The sequence below is a fragment of the Homo sapiens genome, chromosome 2 (assembly GCF_000001405.40).
Source record: "Homo sapiens chromosome 2, GRCh38.p14 Primary Assembly".
NCBI classification, from domain to species: domain Eukaryota; kingdom Metazoa; phylum Chordata; class Mammalia; order Primates; family Hominidae; genus Homo; species Homo sapiens.
The window spans coordinates 227,973,115-227,986,759 of record NC_000002.12 but is presented as its reverse complement, the minus strand read 5'-3'; the positions used below and the strand labels follow the sequence as shown (position 1 = coordinate 227,986,759).

The 13,645-nt window shown below is 40.2% G+C and overlaps 1 protein-coding gene and 1 long non-coding RNA gene across 7 annotated transcripts in view; one reads left to right on the top strand and one right to left on the bottom strand.

Annotated features, from left to right (window-relative positions):
* Window positions 1–6,805, top strand: part of SPHKAP (SPHK1 interactor, AKAP domain containing) — a 201,733-nt gene extending 194,928 nt beyond the window's left edge. For all 6 annotated transcript variants that reach the window (NM_030623.4, NM_001142644.2, XM_006712778.5 and 3 more), the window contains one exon: window positions 4,900–6,805. In NM_030623.4, the coding sequence (NP_085126.2) occupies window positions 4,900–5,043 (144 nt within the window). In that variant the 3' untranslated portion in view covers window positions 5,044–6,805. The remainder of the gene's footprint in view (window positions 1–4,899) is intronic.
* Window positions 1–13,645, bottom strand: part of LOC105373918 (uncharacterized) — a 79,493-nt gene that overhangs the window by 55,335 nt on the left and 10,513 nt on the right. The window lies entirely within an intron of this gene.

Genomic DNA, 13,645 nt, shown 5'->3' with positions numbered 1-13,645 from the left:
TTCTATGGGGGCAGTGCAGAGAAAGGAATGTGCCCAAGGAGGAAATGGGTATGTGCTTACCTTCCTAAGAAAGTGGGCGTCAGAAGAGGAGTGCCTCCCTCTAATTTCTTATTCTATTTTACATACAAAGTGGTGGAAGAAAAATGAAGGAGAAAATGTTGATGGTATTGACTTTAACAAATTTTTTTACTTCCATAGGTTTTTGGGGAACAGGTGGTATTTGGTTATATGAGTAAGTTCCCTAGTGGTGATTTGTGAGACTTTGGTGCACCCATCACCCGACCAGTATACATTGAACCCAATTTGTAGTCTCTTATCCCTCACCTGCCTCCAACCCTTTGCCCCAAGTCTCCAAAGTCCATAATATCATTCATATGCCTTTGCATTCTCATGGCTTAGCTCCCACTTATGAGTGAGAACATACGATGTTAGGTTTTCCATTCCTGAGTTACTTAACTTAGAATAATAGTCTCCAATTTGATGGTATTGACTTTTGACTTACCTTTGCAAATACAAAGACAAAAAAACTACAGTTAAGGTTATCAGCTTCAAAGAAACTCATTGGAAAGGAAGGGGAAAATTAGAAGAATTTGATACTGAGGCGCTTCATCTGTAATCATAGGAAAGTGCCTTAAAACTGAGTCCTTTAGTCAGATTTAGTGCACGTTAGAGTCACGTGGGGAGGTTTTACGAACTCCAATGCTCAAACCAATTAGATCAGAATCTTCTCTGGGGATGCTGCCCAGGCATCAGGGTTTTGTAAAGGTGCCTGGGGTTCCAGAGTGCAGCCAAGGCTCAGACTGATAGCTCTACAGGCCTTAATTGCAGAGCAATATAGGGACCAACTCACTTATGCTTAATGCAATCTAATTCTGCCTTGGAGCAAAAGAAGGTAGTTGCTTTCAGAAATCTAAGTTGACTGTTTCCAAAAAATTGCACAACTTGCAACAACTCCCATAGATTTCATGATATAGTTTTGTAAACAATTAATCTAATTTATTAAATGCACCTAAGAATATAAAAGTTATCTCCTATCTTATACTTTTCTTCAAATGAGTCTACAGATGATATACCATCATATAGTTTCTTAAGACAAAATATTTGCTCAAAGAAATGCCAACTATGATCTATGGGTAGGGAACCTAATTATTACTGATTGTGAAATGGCAGAAAATGAAATTATTTTCATTTTTATTTTTCAATGCAGCGGAAAGAAAAACTCAGATCGTGACTTGCTAAAGCTGATTGTGAAAATACCCAGGCAATAGCATGAACAGGCACAGTGAGAGCTCTAGGACTTTCTGCTAAATAAAACATGGTTTTAAAAGCCCGGTAAAGAACTAGAATGTCCTTTTCTGACTTCTTCACAATCTTTTTTCATTCTTACCTTTTTTTAATGGAAGAAAAGAAAAGAAGAGTTCTTCTTGCTCATCAGCCCCAAAGATGTTTCCAGGTCTCAATATCCAAGATTAAGTCGTCACGGCCTCAGAGCATGCTCTATTTAGTGGGGCCAGACCATTTTTAAATGCCACTTTACTGGGATATCAGCCTGGACTTAGAAATTATGACAGATTCCAGCTTGTGACCACACCACAAACTATACACAGAGTGGCCTAGCTGGTGAGTTATTTTGACAACTTTGGAGAGACTCTCCTTCACAGGCCCCAAATAGATGGAAAGAAGCTGGTGTTAGGGCTTCCAGAAAGGTATGAGGCAGAGAGAATTCTGGGAAGAGTTTAGCAAATATTGGCATCTGCTCCAGAGCTTTGATTCTTCCCCCACCCAGAAAATGACTCAGAGATAAAAGTTGGGGATAAGGTGGTGGTCCCGTAAGCCACGGTTTACAGAAAGGAGCCAAGGCAAATGTCATGTTTCCATCAGTGGAATCTTTACAGACTTGCTAAGTGAAAGGAGGCACCAAGACTACTGGGGATACCTTAGAGAAGTCTCGAGAAACAAATCAACAACCTGTGAGCCTCTCCCAGTGAGACCTCAGAAACTCAATGTCCAGGCCTTCTGCACCAGGAACTCTACTTTCTAGATTTCCAGTAAGAGCTGGAGAGTGAGGAAAAGCCTGCTTAGTGGAATCATACAAAAGCTGTCATTTTAGCCTTTCTCCCCTTCATTCCCTTCAAGACCGCTATTCCGAAGCCGCATGTCATCATCCCTTTGTTCAATCAAAATCATGGCTTGGATCTTACATACACTCTTAGATATAAGTAACAGCTCACAAAATTATTTTTATGTATCTCCATAAATCACTAATAGCTGCTTGAAATGTTCCCCTTCCCAAGAGTATTTTCCTCATTAGCAAAGCCTTAACCTAAAGGGTTTGTAGTCTGTTCCTAAAATGTCAAGAATCAGGTAGACAAGAAGCTAAGAAGGGTGGTGAGAGGTCCCAGGCAATGAATACTTTCTTTGAAAATTTTTTTCTTTCTTTCTTTTTTTTTTTTTTTTTTTGAGATGGAGTCTCACTCTGTCACCCAGGCTGAAGTGCAGTGGTGAAATCTCAGCTCACTGCAACTTCCGCCTCCTAGGTTCAAGCGATTCTCCTGCCTCAGCCTCCTGAGTAGCTGTGATTACAGGTGCATGCCACGACGCCCGGTTAATTTTTGTATTTTTAGTAGAGACGTGGTTTTCACCACATTGGTCAGGCTGGTCTCGAATTCCTGACCTCGTGATCAGCCTGCCTCAGCCTCCCAAAGTGCCAGGATTACAGGCGTGAGCCACCGAACCCAGCCTCTCTGAAATTCTAACACTGAGACTGATGGGAGTGAATGAGCTGGCCCACCGTGGCTGTTACCATGAGCATGAAGCAGCCCCACATCTCACCCCCACAACGTATATTCCCACTCAGTCACCACGTGATAAGAAACGTGCCCCATGACCAGCTTTTATTTTGCTGCTTGCCCACCACTCTCCTACTCCAGGCTCTGTTCAGCCTTTTCCTAGATCTATAACCTCCAGTCATTTTCAAGGAGCACTCCTGCAGTAGAAAATTATCGAGCAACAGCCTCAAGATATGCCTGTTGAAATTATATATGCGAAAATACATTACCTAAAACTCAAGAATGAATACTTAGTGAAAGTTCGTCCTCAATGATGCTAAATGTTTATCCACATTCCAAACAGTCTTCTTGAGATCTTTGAATGTATTTGACTCACGCTTGGTCTTGCATCCCTTCTGTCATTCAGCAAATATGCATGGAGCACCTACTATGTGCAGGCACGAGATATGAAAAGATGGCTAAGATGTCCTTCTGCTGGGAGATTGCTGTCTATGGTTGCCATCTGCCTCCCATCTGTCTCCCTTTTCACAACATCCTAACACTCTTTAAGACAATGTTTATATTTCCAGGTATTAAAAGTTAAGGATGTCATTTTCCAGCCTAGGAAATTGCTTTATTTTGATTCAGCCAATACAAGCCAAATGAGTACAATAAAGCACTGATTACTGTAACTGTGCAAATAGTTGGTACCATCACAGCTGGGAGAAGAAACATCATTTAACAGCGGATCTCTATGAGACAACTTCTCAGTAACTGAAGTGAATTAACATACTCAAACTGGAAAGAAATTAGCATTCCAGTTCCTGGCTGATCTCTGAAGTCTGAGCAAACAAATACCAAAAAATAATAATAATTAATTAATTTTAAAAAATCCTAGAAAAAAAATTGAAGAAATAGTAACTGAACCACAATCCTCATCTTTTTAGCAACTAAGGCTCTCCTCCTCCTAAAACAATGCCAAATTTCCAGCCTATTTTTTCTCCCAGTGCTCCAAGTAAATATCAAGAACATAGAATTTACTTATCCATATTCCCAACAGTCTTCTTGAGATCTTTGAATGTATTTGACTCACGCTTGGTCTTGCAACCCTTCTGTCGTTCAGCAAATATGCATGGAGCCCCTACTATGTGCAGGCATAGTTCTTTTGCCACCAAAATGCAGAAAGGTGCGGTGATAGAAAGAGCATTGTACGGAAGTGTTAGAAGACCATGATCCTACTGACAATTTTTCATCTTTCAAGCCCACATCTTTTTCATTGCAAATGCTCACATCATAGAGTTGTGACAGAATTGAATGAGGTTACATGTGTTAAAATATTTCCTACAGTTCCTGGCTTTCATTACATCTTTCCTCAAAAAAGTACCTAAGGAGTTAGAGAGTCCTTCACACTGGACTTCATCAGTTCCATGAAGAGAATGACTTATAATTATTTCTCCATTTTTCCTCCCTTCAAGCCCTCAATTTCACTTGCAGTCCAGACTTTCTCTCTAGGCTGTGGCCAATAGAACTGGTACCAATACCCAGGTGACAAATCTAAGGTGTTTCCTCCATCTTTCCTGATCCTGTGGCTGTGGAAAGCCAGGCTTTCTTGATCCTTGATTTTAGCCTGGAGGGTGAGGGAGTTGCTTCTCAGGATGGAATGAAGAATCAATAGGTGGTCCTGCATCAAAGTTTACCACTTGATTTATTTGGCCTAAATTTACACACCCAATGAGATCTTATTTGTGATAGAAATAGAAGGGACTGGGAGCTGTAATACACAATCCTATTACAGAAAGTCTAACTGAGAAAAAAGCAGACCCAAGAAAACACTAAATATCTAAAAGACTGGCTCTTAAAAAAAAAAGAATTAGTCTCATTCCACCTAATCCTCTGCAGTCAATGAATGGCAAACTGCTGTGAAAAAAAAAAAAAAAAAATTCACTTGATGAAGTTCGGTAATAATCTGAAATTCTTAAAAAGAAAATAGATTATCCCGGAAAACAGTCCTCTGACACTAGAGACATTTAAACAGAGACTGGAGAGCCATTGGCTTCGCGAGGGTGGTTGAATGAGGTGGCTTTGAGGACCCTCTGTGCTCTGTGAGCCCTAACTCTCCGTTTTATTTTAGTTTCTAGATGTCGTGCAGCTGGTTCATCGGAAGTCCTGGAAAGTGGGTGATATCTTCCATGCAGTTGTCCAGTACTGCAAAATGCATGAGGAGCAGAAGGATGGGAGACTGAGTCTCTTTGACTGGCTCTTGGAACTGGGATAATAAGGCAGTCTGCCGTATAGATCATTCCTTCCCTTTATTCCAACTTAGATTACAGTGGTTTGTTCTAAATGCTCTAAACATTCTCAAAACATCACATCACATTAGCAGAACTATAAAAAAAAATCTGCTACTCAGATCCACTGCATACAGAATAAGTCAGAGGAAAAGCAAAATATAGGTCTGTCCAAATTCATACAACTTGTGGGTGAGTTCCAAAGAGCTTGGATTAGAAGGGCTGGACAAAGAGAGAATTCAATGGGGCCCAAATTAGAATGCTTATAATGAGACCCAATCTCCAGGAAAACAACACTCACATAAGTTTAATCATATAAAATGATTTGTAATGTCTCTAATTAGATGAATCAACTAGAAACAAACTCAGTGGTCAAAATAATTTTTAAGAGTATTCCGTAACCTATATTTTACTTTTCTGATTATATTAAGGGGCTGCCAGCCCGGAGAAATACTTAAGATATGGGTGAGAAATCCCCAGACTTTTATACAAAAGATTTCCACTTTCAAATCAATGTCAGTAGACATTGATAAAAGTATAGCAGCATCCTCTACTGAGGTGATTTCATTTATTCCCTGCAGCCCACTGATAAATATCTCACTTCTCCCAAATAGTATGTGGACTCCCAGCTAAGCAGAAAACTATTGTCATTCAACTGAAGAAGAGGAAGATAAAAGATTGTCTTGTTTCCATCACTGTATTACTTGTGTAACATGATTACATAATTCTTATCCTAAGAGAAAGCTTTCATATTTAAAAAAAAGTCTTTTCAGATAAAATCTGCTTGTGTCTTGAATAATATGAAATACAAACTTTCACTTTATTTTATTGTAAATTATAAAGAGATTATTGTCTTAAATAATATATTGAGTTAGCTTCAAGCTTCCTAAAATATGAAGAGATTGTTGTCTAAAGTCACATATTGACATTGAGCTCAGTGGCCTGTTTCATCACGTATGTGCTGCTACCTGTACAGCAGACATGCCGCTCCAGTGACATTTATAATGACAGAAGCAGGGTAATGGTCTTGTGTTTGACATGATCAGTTAGGATCATAGACTTTCCCTGACTCGTAGATATTAGCCTTGAATTGGGGGAAAAGAAGACTTTGACACATTTTAGTTATTTTAATAACAGAGATTTACTCTTTTGAAAAATAAAGGTATCTAATGTCTCCCTAATAAGTCTTCTTTCCTTCCAACTAAATGACCTACACGGACTTTTATTTTCTTGATCAAAGAGGTGTTTATTAAGGACTTCTGGATAACTATACTTTTACTCTATTTTTAAAGATCACAAAGTAATTTTAAATGTGAACAGGTTCCCATACCATGAATGCTGGCCTCACCTTCTCTATCATCCACATTTTGAAATGCAAAGAAAGCTCCCTTGTAAGCCATACTTCCTTCCCCACTCCCATCCTAGGATACTTGCCCAGTGCTCATTAGGCATTTCTTATTCAGATAGTCCAAATTTAGGTTATTATGCTTAATTTGACACATTAACTAAATGCCCAGTTTTAAAATATATCCATCAATTCACGCTGAAATGTGCTTCTTTGTGCTATCAAATGGAATAGAATACACTTATTTTTTAAACAATCCCAGAATACTGTGTGTAGACTTTTGTTGTGCTCAAATAAATGTTTACTTATCTTACAAAGCTCAAATACTGGATTGTAACCATGTGATGAAGTTATCTATGTTGTACCTAACATTGCAAATTAATCAATAAATCTCTGTTGTCAGATTGTTGATTATTTTTTCTGGAAGAGCTTTAAGCACCTCATAGAAAAAACAGTCCCAGTACAATTGTATAAAGGCCTATATATCCCTTAGAAAAGTTTTGTTGTCCTGCTTTCATTTTTTTGAAAAAGTAAATGTTCTTGGCTTAATTTGTTAAAATCAGTAATATTCATGGAAATCAGTTTCTCAAACTTGGCACTATTGACATTTGGGACCACCTCATTCTTTGTTGCAGAGGGTTATCCTGAATATTGTGAGATGTTTAGCAACATCCCTGGCCTCTACCCACTAGATGCTAGTAACTAACCCCTCACAGGTGTGATAACCAAAAATATTCCCAGCCTTGCCAAATGTCCCCTGGAGGCCAAAATCATCACTGGTTGAGGACCACTGTTGTCAAGAATGCATTGAAGGACCAGGGCCTGAGTCTCTATGAGGTGTTAAAGGAGGACGTGCCTTCAGCCGCCTAGGGAATCCCCATAAGGAGCCTGAAAACCGGGCATTTCCCTACCCAAGGCCCATGGAGTGTGGCTTTTACCTTAAATCTGGGGAATAGGAGAAAGAGGCACAAGACAGACAAGGAGTCTACAAACCTGGGGATCAACTAACCTAGACTCAAGTAAACTCAAAGTAAACTCATCAGGGATAGAGGTAAGTGGATGATGCTCTTTGAATTCAGGAAATAAACTATTAGAATATATGCAAATAGAACATTGAGAATCATGGGCACTTTGTTTTATTCACTAATAAGGAGGCATGAACATGCTTTGAATTCTCCAGTCAGTCAGGGGATATTGTTAAATAAAAACAAACTCTGGACATTGGCAAAGAGAGGCTTTATTTAAACAGATTATGGCAAGCGGGGTTGGGGAACTCTTTCAGTGGAGGATGGAACTATTCCAATAACAAGAATGCTCCAACCACAAGATCTGCAAATGTGTTAAGGGTTAGGCAAAAAGGAGTTTTGTGTTTGTTTGTTTGTTTGTTTTGTTTTGTTAGAAAGAGGAGTAAATAAGGCTAGAATGAACCAGGTGTGGGGAATGGGATGGACAGGGTGAGCCAGTGAGGTGGCGTGATCACACAGTAGATTAGAGAATGTTTTATCCTGAGATCAGCCTGGTCTCAGGAGGGGTCTCTTGTTATGGCAAGCGGGGTTGGGGGACTCTTTCAATGGAGAATAGAACTATTGCAATAACAAGAATGCTCCAACCACAAGATCTGCAAATGTGTTAAGGGTTAGGCAAAAAGGAGTTTTTTGTTTGTTTGTTTTGTTTTGTTAGAAAGAGGAGTAAATAAGGCTACAATGAACCAGGTGTGGGGAATGGGATGCACAGGGTGAGCCAGTGATCGCACAGTAGATTAGAGAATGTTTTATCCTGAGATCAGCCTGGTCTCAGGAGGGGTCTCTTCTTATACTGAGAAGGGGCCAAAGTTCAGGGAACCAAGGAAGGGAGAGAAGCTTAACTAAAGTTTAGTTACAAACCTTTGTTCCAGTTGGTCAATAGATACAGCTTGGCTAATTATGAGATAAAAAACGAAAATTTGGAGGGTCTGTGTCTGGCCTTGTTAGAAGTAAACCAGAGAGTGATCCACGAGTCTTAAGTCGTCTGTGGAAAGATCATTCCTTGCACTAAGCTATTTCTAGAACATACTGGTTGGGGGAATTTCCCTAACCATGGCTGTTTACCAGCATCTCAGTTGTCCATATCAAAGACTCAGCAGATAGTCCTTAGGAAACCATTGTCCTTGACATCTTCTTGGGGCCCACTGTCTTCCTTTCACAGTGTAAGCGCATGTCCCTTCATTTAATAAACATTTTCCTAGGAACTACTGGGTGCTGGGCACCATGCTAGACAGTTGGAATGAAGAGCTGAATCACGCGGCATGGCACTTAGGAGCTCACAGACTATAGGGGAAATGTACACATCAAAGTCTAACAGAACAATATAATAATGGCTATAATGCAACTCTATATGGACTGGCAAGGCAGGGAACACTGGGGAATATTCATTGCTATGTGGTGGAGAAAATATTTCAGCTCAGCTTTTGGGGTATGAAGGAGTCATTTAATAAGTAGGGAGAAGAGACCCCAAACTGCTGAAGAGAAGACATTCAGAGCAGAAAGATAATTAGCAGCAGTCTGGATATGCAGCCTGAGACACGGCTGGAAATTTGATGTAATTGTAACACAGCTATGAGCTGAGGGAGTCACCAGGTGTGAAGCTGGGAATAGAAATCAAAGCCACATTTTAAGAGGCTCCCCATCTATGCAAAGGAGTCCAAAATATATTCTTTTTTTTTCCCCCATAGAGACAGGGTCTTGCTATGTCGCCCAGGCTGGTCTTAAACACCTGGCCTCAAGCAATCCTCCTGCCTTAGCCTCCCAAAGTGCAGAGAGTACAAGCATAAGCCCCTCTATTTGTCCCAAAATGTATTATTTGAGCACGAATCCTTTTAATCAAAGGAGATAGAAAATCAGATGTACATGTAAGAAAAATTATATATGTGAATACATGTGTGGGCCACTGAGTTTTATCTTACATTTGAGACAATGCCATGGAAGACAGCTTTGTTCATGGGCATGTTCATGGGTAGAGGGGTTCCCCACAGTTCTATGATATGATTTCTTCTTCTCATACAGCACTCTGCATCCGGGGTCTCCAAGACCAACCTCAGACTCAATGATATGCTGGAAGGACCCACAGGACTCAGAAGCCATGTATCCATGGTTATGATTTATCACAGCAAAAAGGAATGAATTAAGCTCAGCAAGGGAAAAGGGCACATAGAGCAAAGTCCGGGAGAAATAAATACAAGCTTCCAGGTGTCCCTTCCCAGTAGAGTTGCACAGGATGCACTTAACTCTTCAATAATGATACATGACAACACACGCGAAGTGTCGCCAACCAGGGAAGCCTTAGTGTCCGGGTTTGGTACTGGAGGTCAGTCATGTAGGCATGCAGCACCCACGTGACGGACCTTGGCTACTCATGCTCCAGCCCCCACTACACACCAAAAATGGATGTTTATGATACATCCCATTATTAGAGTAAATTATGTGGCCAAAGTGGTACAGCATGGCCCAAGGCCTCAGGCATGCAAAACACTCTTACCAGGCAGAACATTCCCAAGGCTCAATGCTTAGCTCTTAGGAACCAGCCAAAAGTCAGTCCTGGAAATAGACCTCTCTGGGGAATGTGCAGGGTTGAAACAACCCAGGCATCATGAGTTAACCCTTTCCTGCCCAAGCACTTATCACCATCTGCCTTCTAGCATGGCACATTGCGTACAGGTGGTCTCTGTTGCTGATTGTGAATTCCTGGAGGATGAAACCACATTTTACTCGTCTATGAATTCTGCCATAGTCCCTAGCACAATAGCGGATGTTATGTAGACCTGGAAAACTAATAGACCTTGGGGAACTGAGGCCTTGGTTTATATCTGATAAAGTTCAGCCATTAATTCTAAAACTACAGTTTTATTTTTATGCTCTTCTTAGCTTATTAGAGACTGCTACCTGGCATATAAAGCTGCTCAGAATTTCTTATGAAATTACTTTTGGATTCAGGCAAGTGAAGCGTTCTACAAACATTTGCATGTTGTTGGAATTGTATAAGAATGTTTGACGTAAAATATTTTAATACCACAAAACTGAGACTATTTTAGAGGTATTAGAATGAATTTAAGTGATATCCAGGACATTACCAGCAGAACTTGGAATCCAATCAAGTGCAGGCAGGTTCGAATGAAACTAACAGAGGAAGAAAAACATTCTTTGAGCCTCCCTTGCTCCCAGCAAAACTTGTTTGTGCACAAAATGTTAATCTATTTTTATTGTTGCAAAGATCCTTTAACCAACTAAATTTTTCCTGAATAGTTCCTTCAAAAATGCCCTCTTGAAAGTCCTCTAATTTCCCATTCTTCTGTTCAGTGTTCACAGCTCCTTTCTGCAAAAAGCTAAGGGAAGCCCTTCCATTCCTTGGAGATGGCCTTCCATTAAACAATTATCAACATGTTTTTATTCCTTTTTGGAAGATTCCCACCACTTTGTTGAACTCCATCCCATTACTATACCCTTCATTCTGCCAGTTTCTGATCTAGAACATGGTAGGGACTCCGGATTTTACAATGATGCTCTGAGCACTCAAAACCCAGGTGCAAAGATTGTTTTATGGCAAATCGTGATGTCCTTGGGCTGAACATCTGGCCCAAATATTTATACACACACAACCTGTCTCTCTATTAGTATGTCACAAACAACAACATGCAGGACAGATAAAACAGAAACAAGAGTTTCTGTTCTTACAGAGAAAAGTAGAATTAATGGCTCTTTGTTGAGACAGAATAAAGGCGGATGAAACCAAGACAGCCTCTAGCTTTAAGTGCCATGGATCCTTCTCCAGGCCCATGTGTGACATTTGTGAAGGATACTCTTGCCGACTGTGTCAAGCAACAGGACCCAATTATTTTAAACCTAGCAATATTTTTACTAATCAGGGCAGTAGACCACATGATGACCTTTTATGAAATGCACGGAAATGCCAAAAAAAAAAAAAAAAAAACCCACCTCACTGAATTAGATCAGTCATTACCCTCTGCATTTTTGACAGCAGAATCTTATTTTAAATATTCATTGCAGGTATATAGTATTGGAGAGTTCTAGGCTCTCCGGCTCTCCAATATATTTACCAAATGCTTTTGATACTTCATTTTTTAATGTATGTTTTAATATAACAAGTCGTGAATAATCTGATATATAAGACCATTTCTAACTGAACATTTTGTATATTGCTGTCTAGCAGAGAGATGATACCAAGGAAGGAACAAAGCAATTGTCTGGGGTGCGGTGTCTAAACAACGTGAAGGTTAGAAGAAGCTTGCTCCTAAACATCCAGGAACAGTTTGTTTCTTTGTTTTCTAAATGCCTCTGGCAAGAGGCAGAGAAATCAAATTTTGAACAACTATTCCCAAAGAGGTGAGGAAAACTCTGAGAGTGTTGAGTGAGACAAAGAAAAAATGTAGCTATAATTCTTAACATTTTTATGGCATAGGCTTGTGTTAGTCCTTTCTCATGCTGCTATAAGGACATACCTGAGACTGGGTAATTTATAAAGGAAAGAAGTTTTACTCTCAGTTCCGCAGGGCTGGGGAGGCTTCAAGAAACTTACAATCATGGTGGAACCCATCCTTCATGGGTGAAGAACCCATCCTTCTTCACATGGCAGCAGCAAGGAGATGCGTAGAGTGAAGTAGCAGGGACAAGCCCTTTATAAAACCATCAGATCTCGTGAGAACTCACTCACTATCATGAGAACAGCATGGAGGTAACTGCCCCCATGATTCAATTACCTCCCACCAGGTCCCTCCTACAACACATGGAGATTATGGGAGCTATAATTCAAGATTATCTGGGAGGGGACACAGCCAAACCATATCAAGGCTCTTTTGAAAACCTGAGGAAAGCTGCAAATACACAAAATTTAGGGGTTATTGGTAGAACTTCAGGGAGCTGTTCAAGCCTTCTACATAACTCGGTTCTAGTTTCTGAATAGTAGGGCTCATGTCTTCTTCATTTGCTTTCACCTTCCAGACCCTGCCTCTGGTTCCTATCGTCAATTCTTATTTGTTTGAAGAAAACCCACCCTCATTTATGAGGACGGCAGATCAAAAAACTCAGATTCTGACCAGAAGTAATGCTACTTTAAAGGTTTTTGTTTTTTGGTGTGTGTAGAGCATGTTCTCATGAAGATCATTACAGAAATGCAAATTAAAACCACAATGAGATACCACCAGTCAGAATGGCTATTATTAAAAAGTCAGGGCTGGGCATGGTGGCTCAGGCCTGTAATCCCAGCACTTTGGGAGGCTGAGGCAGGCAGATCACTTGAGGTCAGGAATTCAAGACCAACCTGGACAACATGGTGAAACCCTGTTTCTACTAAAAATACAAAAATTAGTTGGGTGTGGTGGAGCGTGCCTGTAATTCCAGCTACTTGGGAGGCTGAGGCAGGAGAATTGCTTGAACTCAGGAGACAAAAGTTGCAGTGAGCCGAGATTGCACCACTGCACTCTAGCCTGGGTGACAAGGTGAGACTCCATCTCAAAAAAATAAAAATAAAAAAGTCAGAAAATAATAGATGCTGGCAAGGTTGTGGAGAAAAACTCATTCCATTCATTAGCTACTCGTTCCACCAATACTTATTCAACACCAAGCATGCTGAGCACTGTTCTAGATGACACAAAGAAATGCAATGGAGAGCAGAGAGGGTTTTCAACATTTGAGAATTTCCACTCTAGTAAAGGACATAAATGATGAGCCATAACAAAAATATATTAATAATATATAAAACTTAGTTGGGCATATAGCAACAATAAAAAATGCTAGAAAAAAAACTTTAATTTAAAAGCAGAGTAAGGTTTAAAGGGTAGTGAAAAGTGTTCATTTAGGTCATGCCTCCCCTCAGTGGTTCCAAGGGCCTTTGAGTAAATGTGAAAGTTTTTGAAGAAGTCAAAGAGTGACACTTGAGATGGTCCCTGAGGACTGACTCACTAGTCAATCTCAGCATGCGATTATTGGTACCAAGTAAAGAGGTGGTGAGAAAGCCAGCTATTGCCTGCACCTCATCAACTGAGAGGGTCTGTGCTTGCTTGTTATAACCGTGAGAACAATGCTGGAAGCGGGGTTGAAAGAGTAAACTATATATCAAAGGACAGTAGTGTACACGGAGCCAATACATCTCTATTCTTTGGACAGTTTTTCCTCTCAGCCCCATGTCTCTTTGGTGATGTATTTTTCCCACCTTTATTCTCTCCTGACATTTTCCAGCTGTCTCCAGCACGTTCT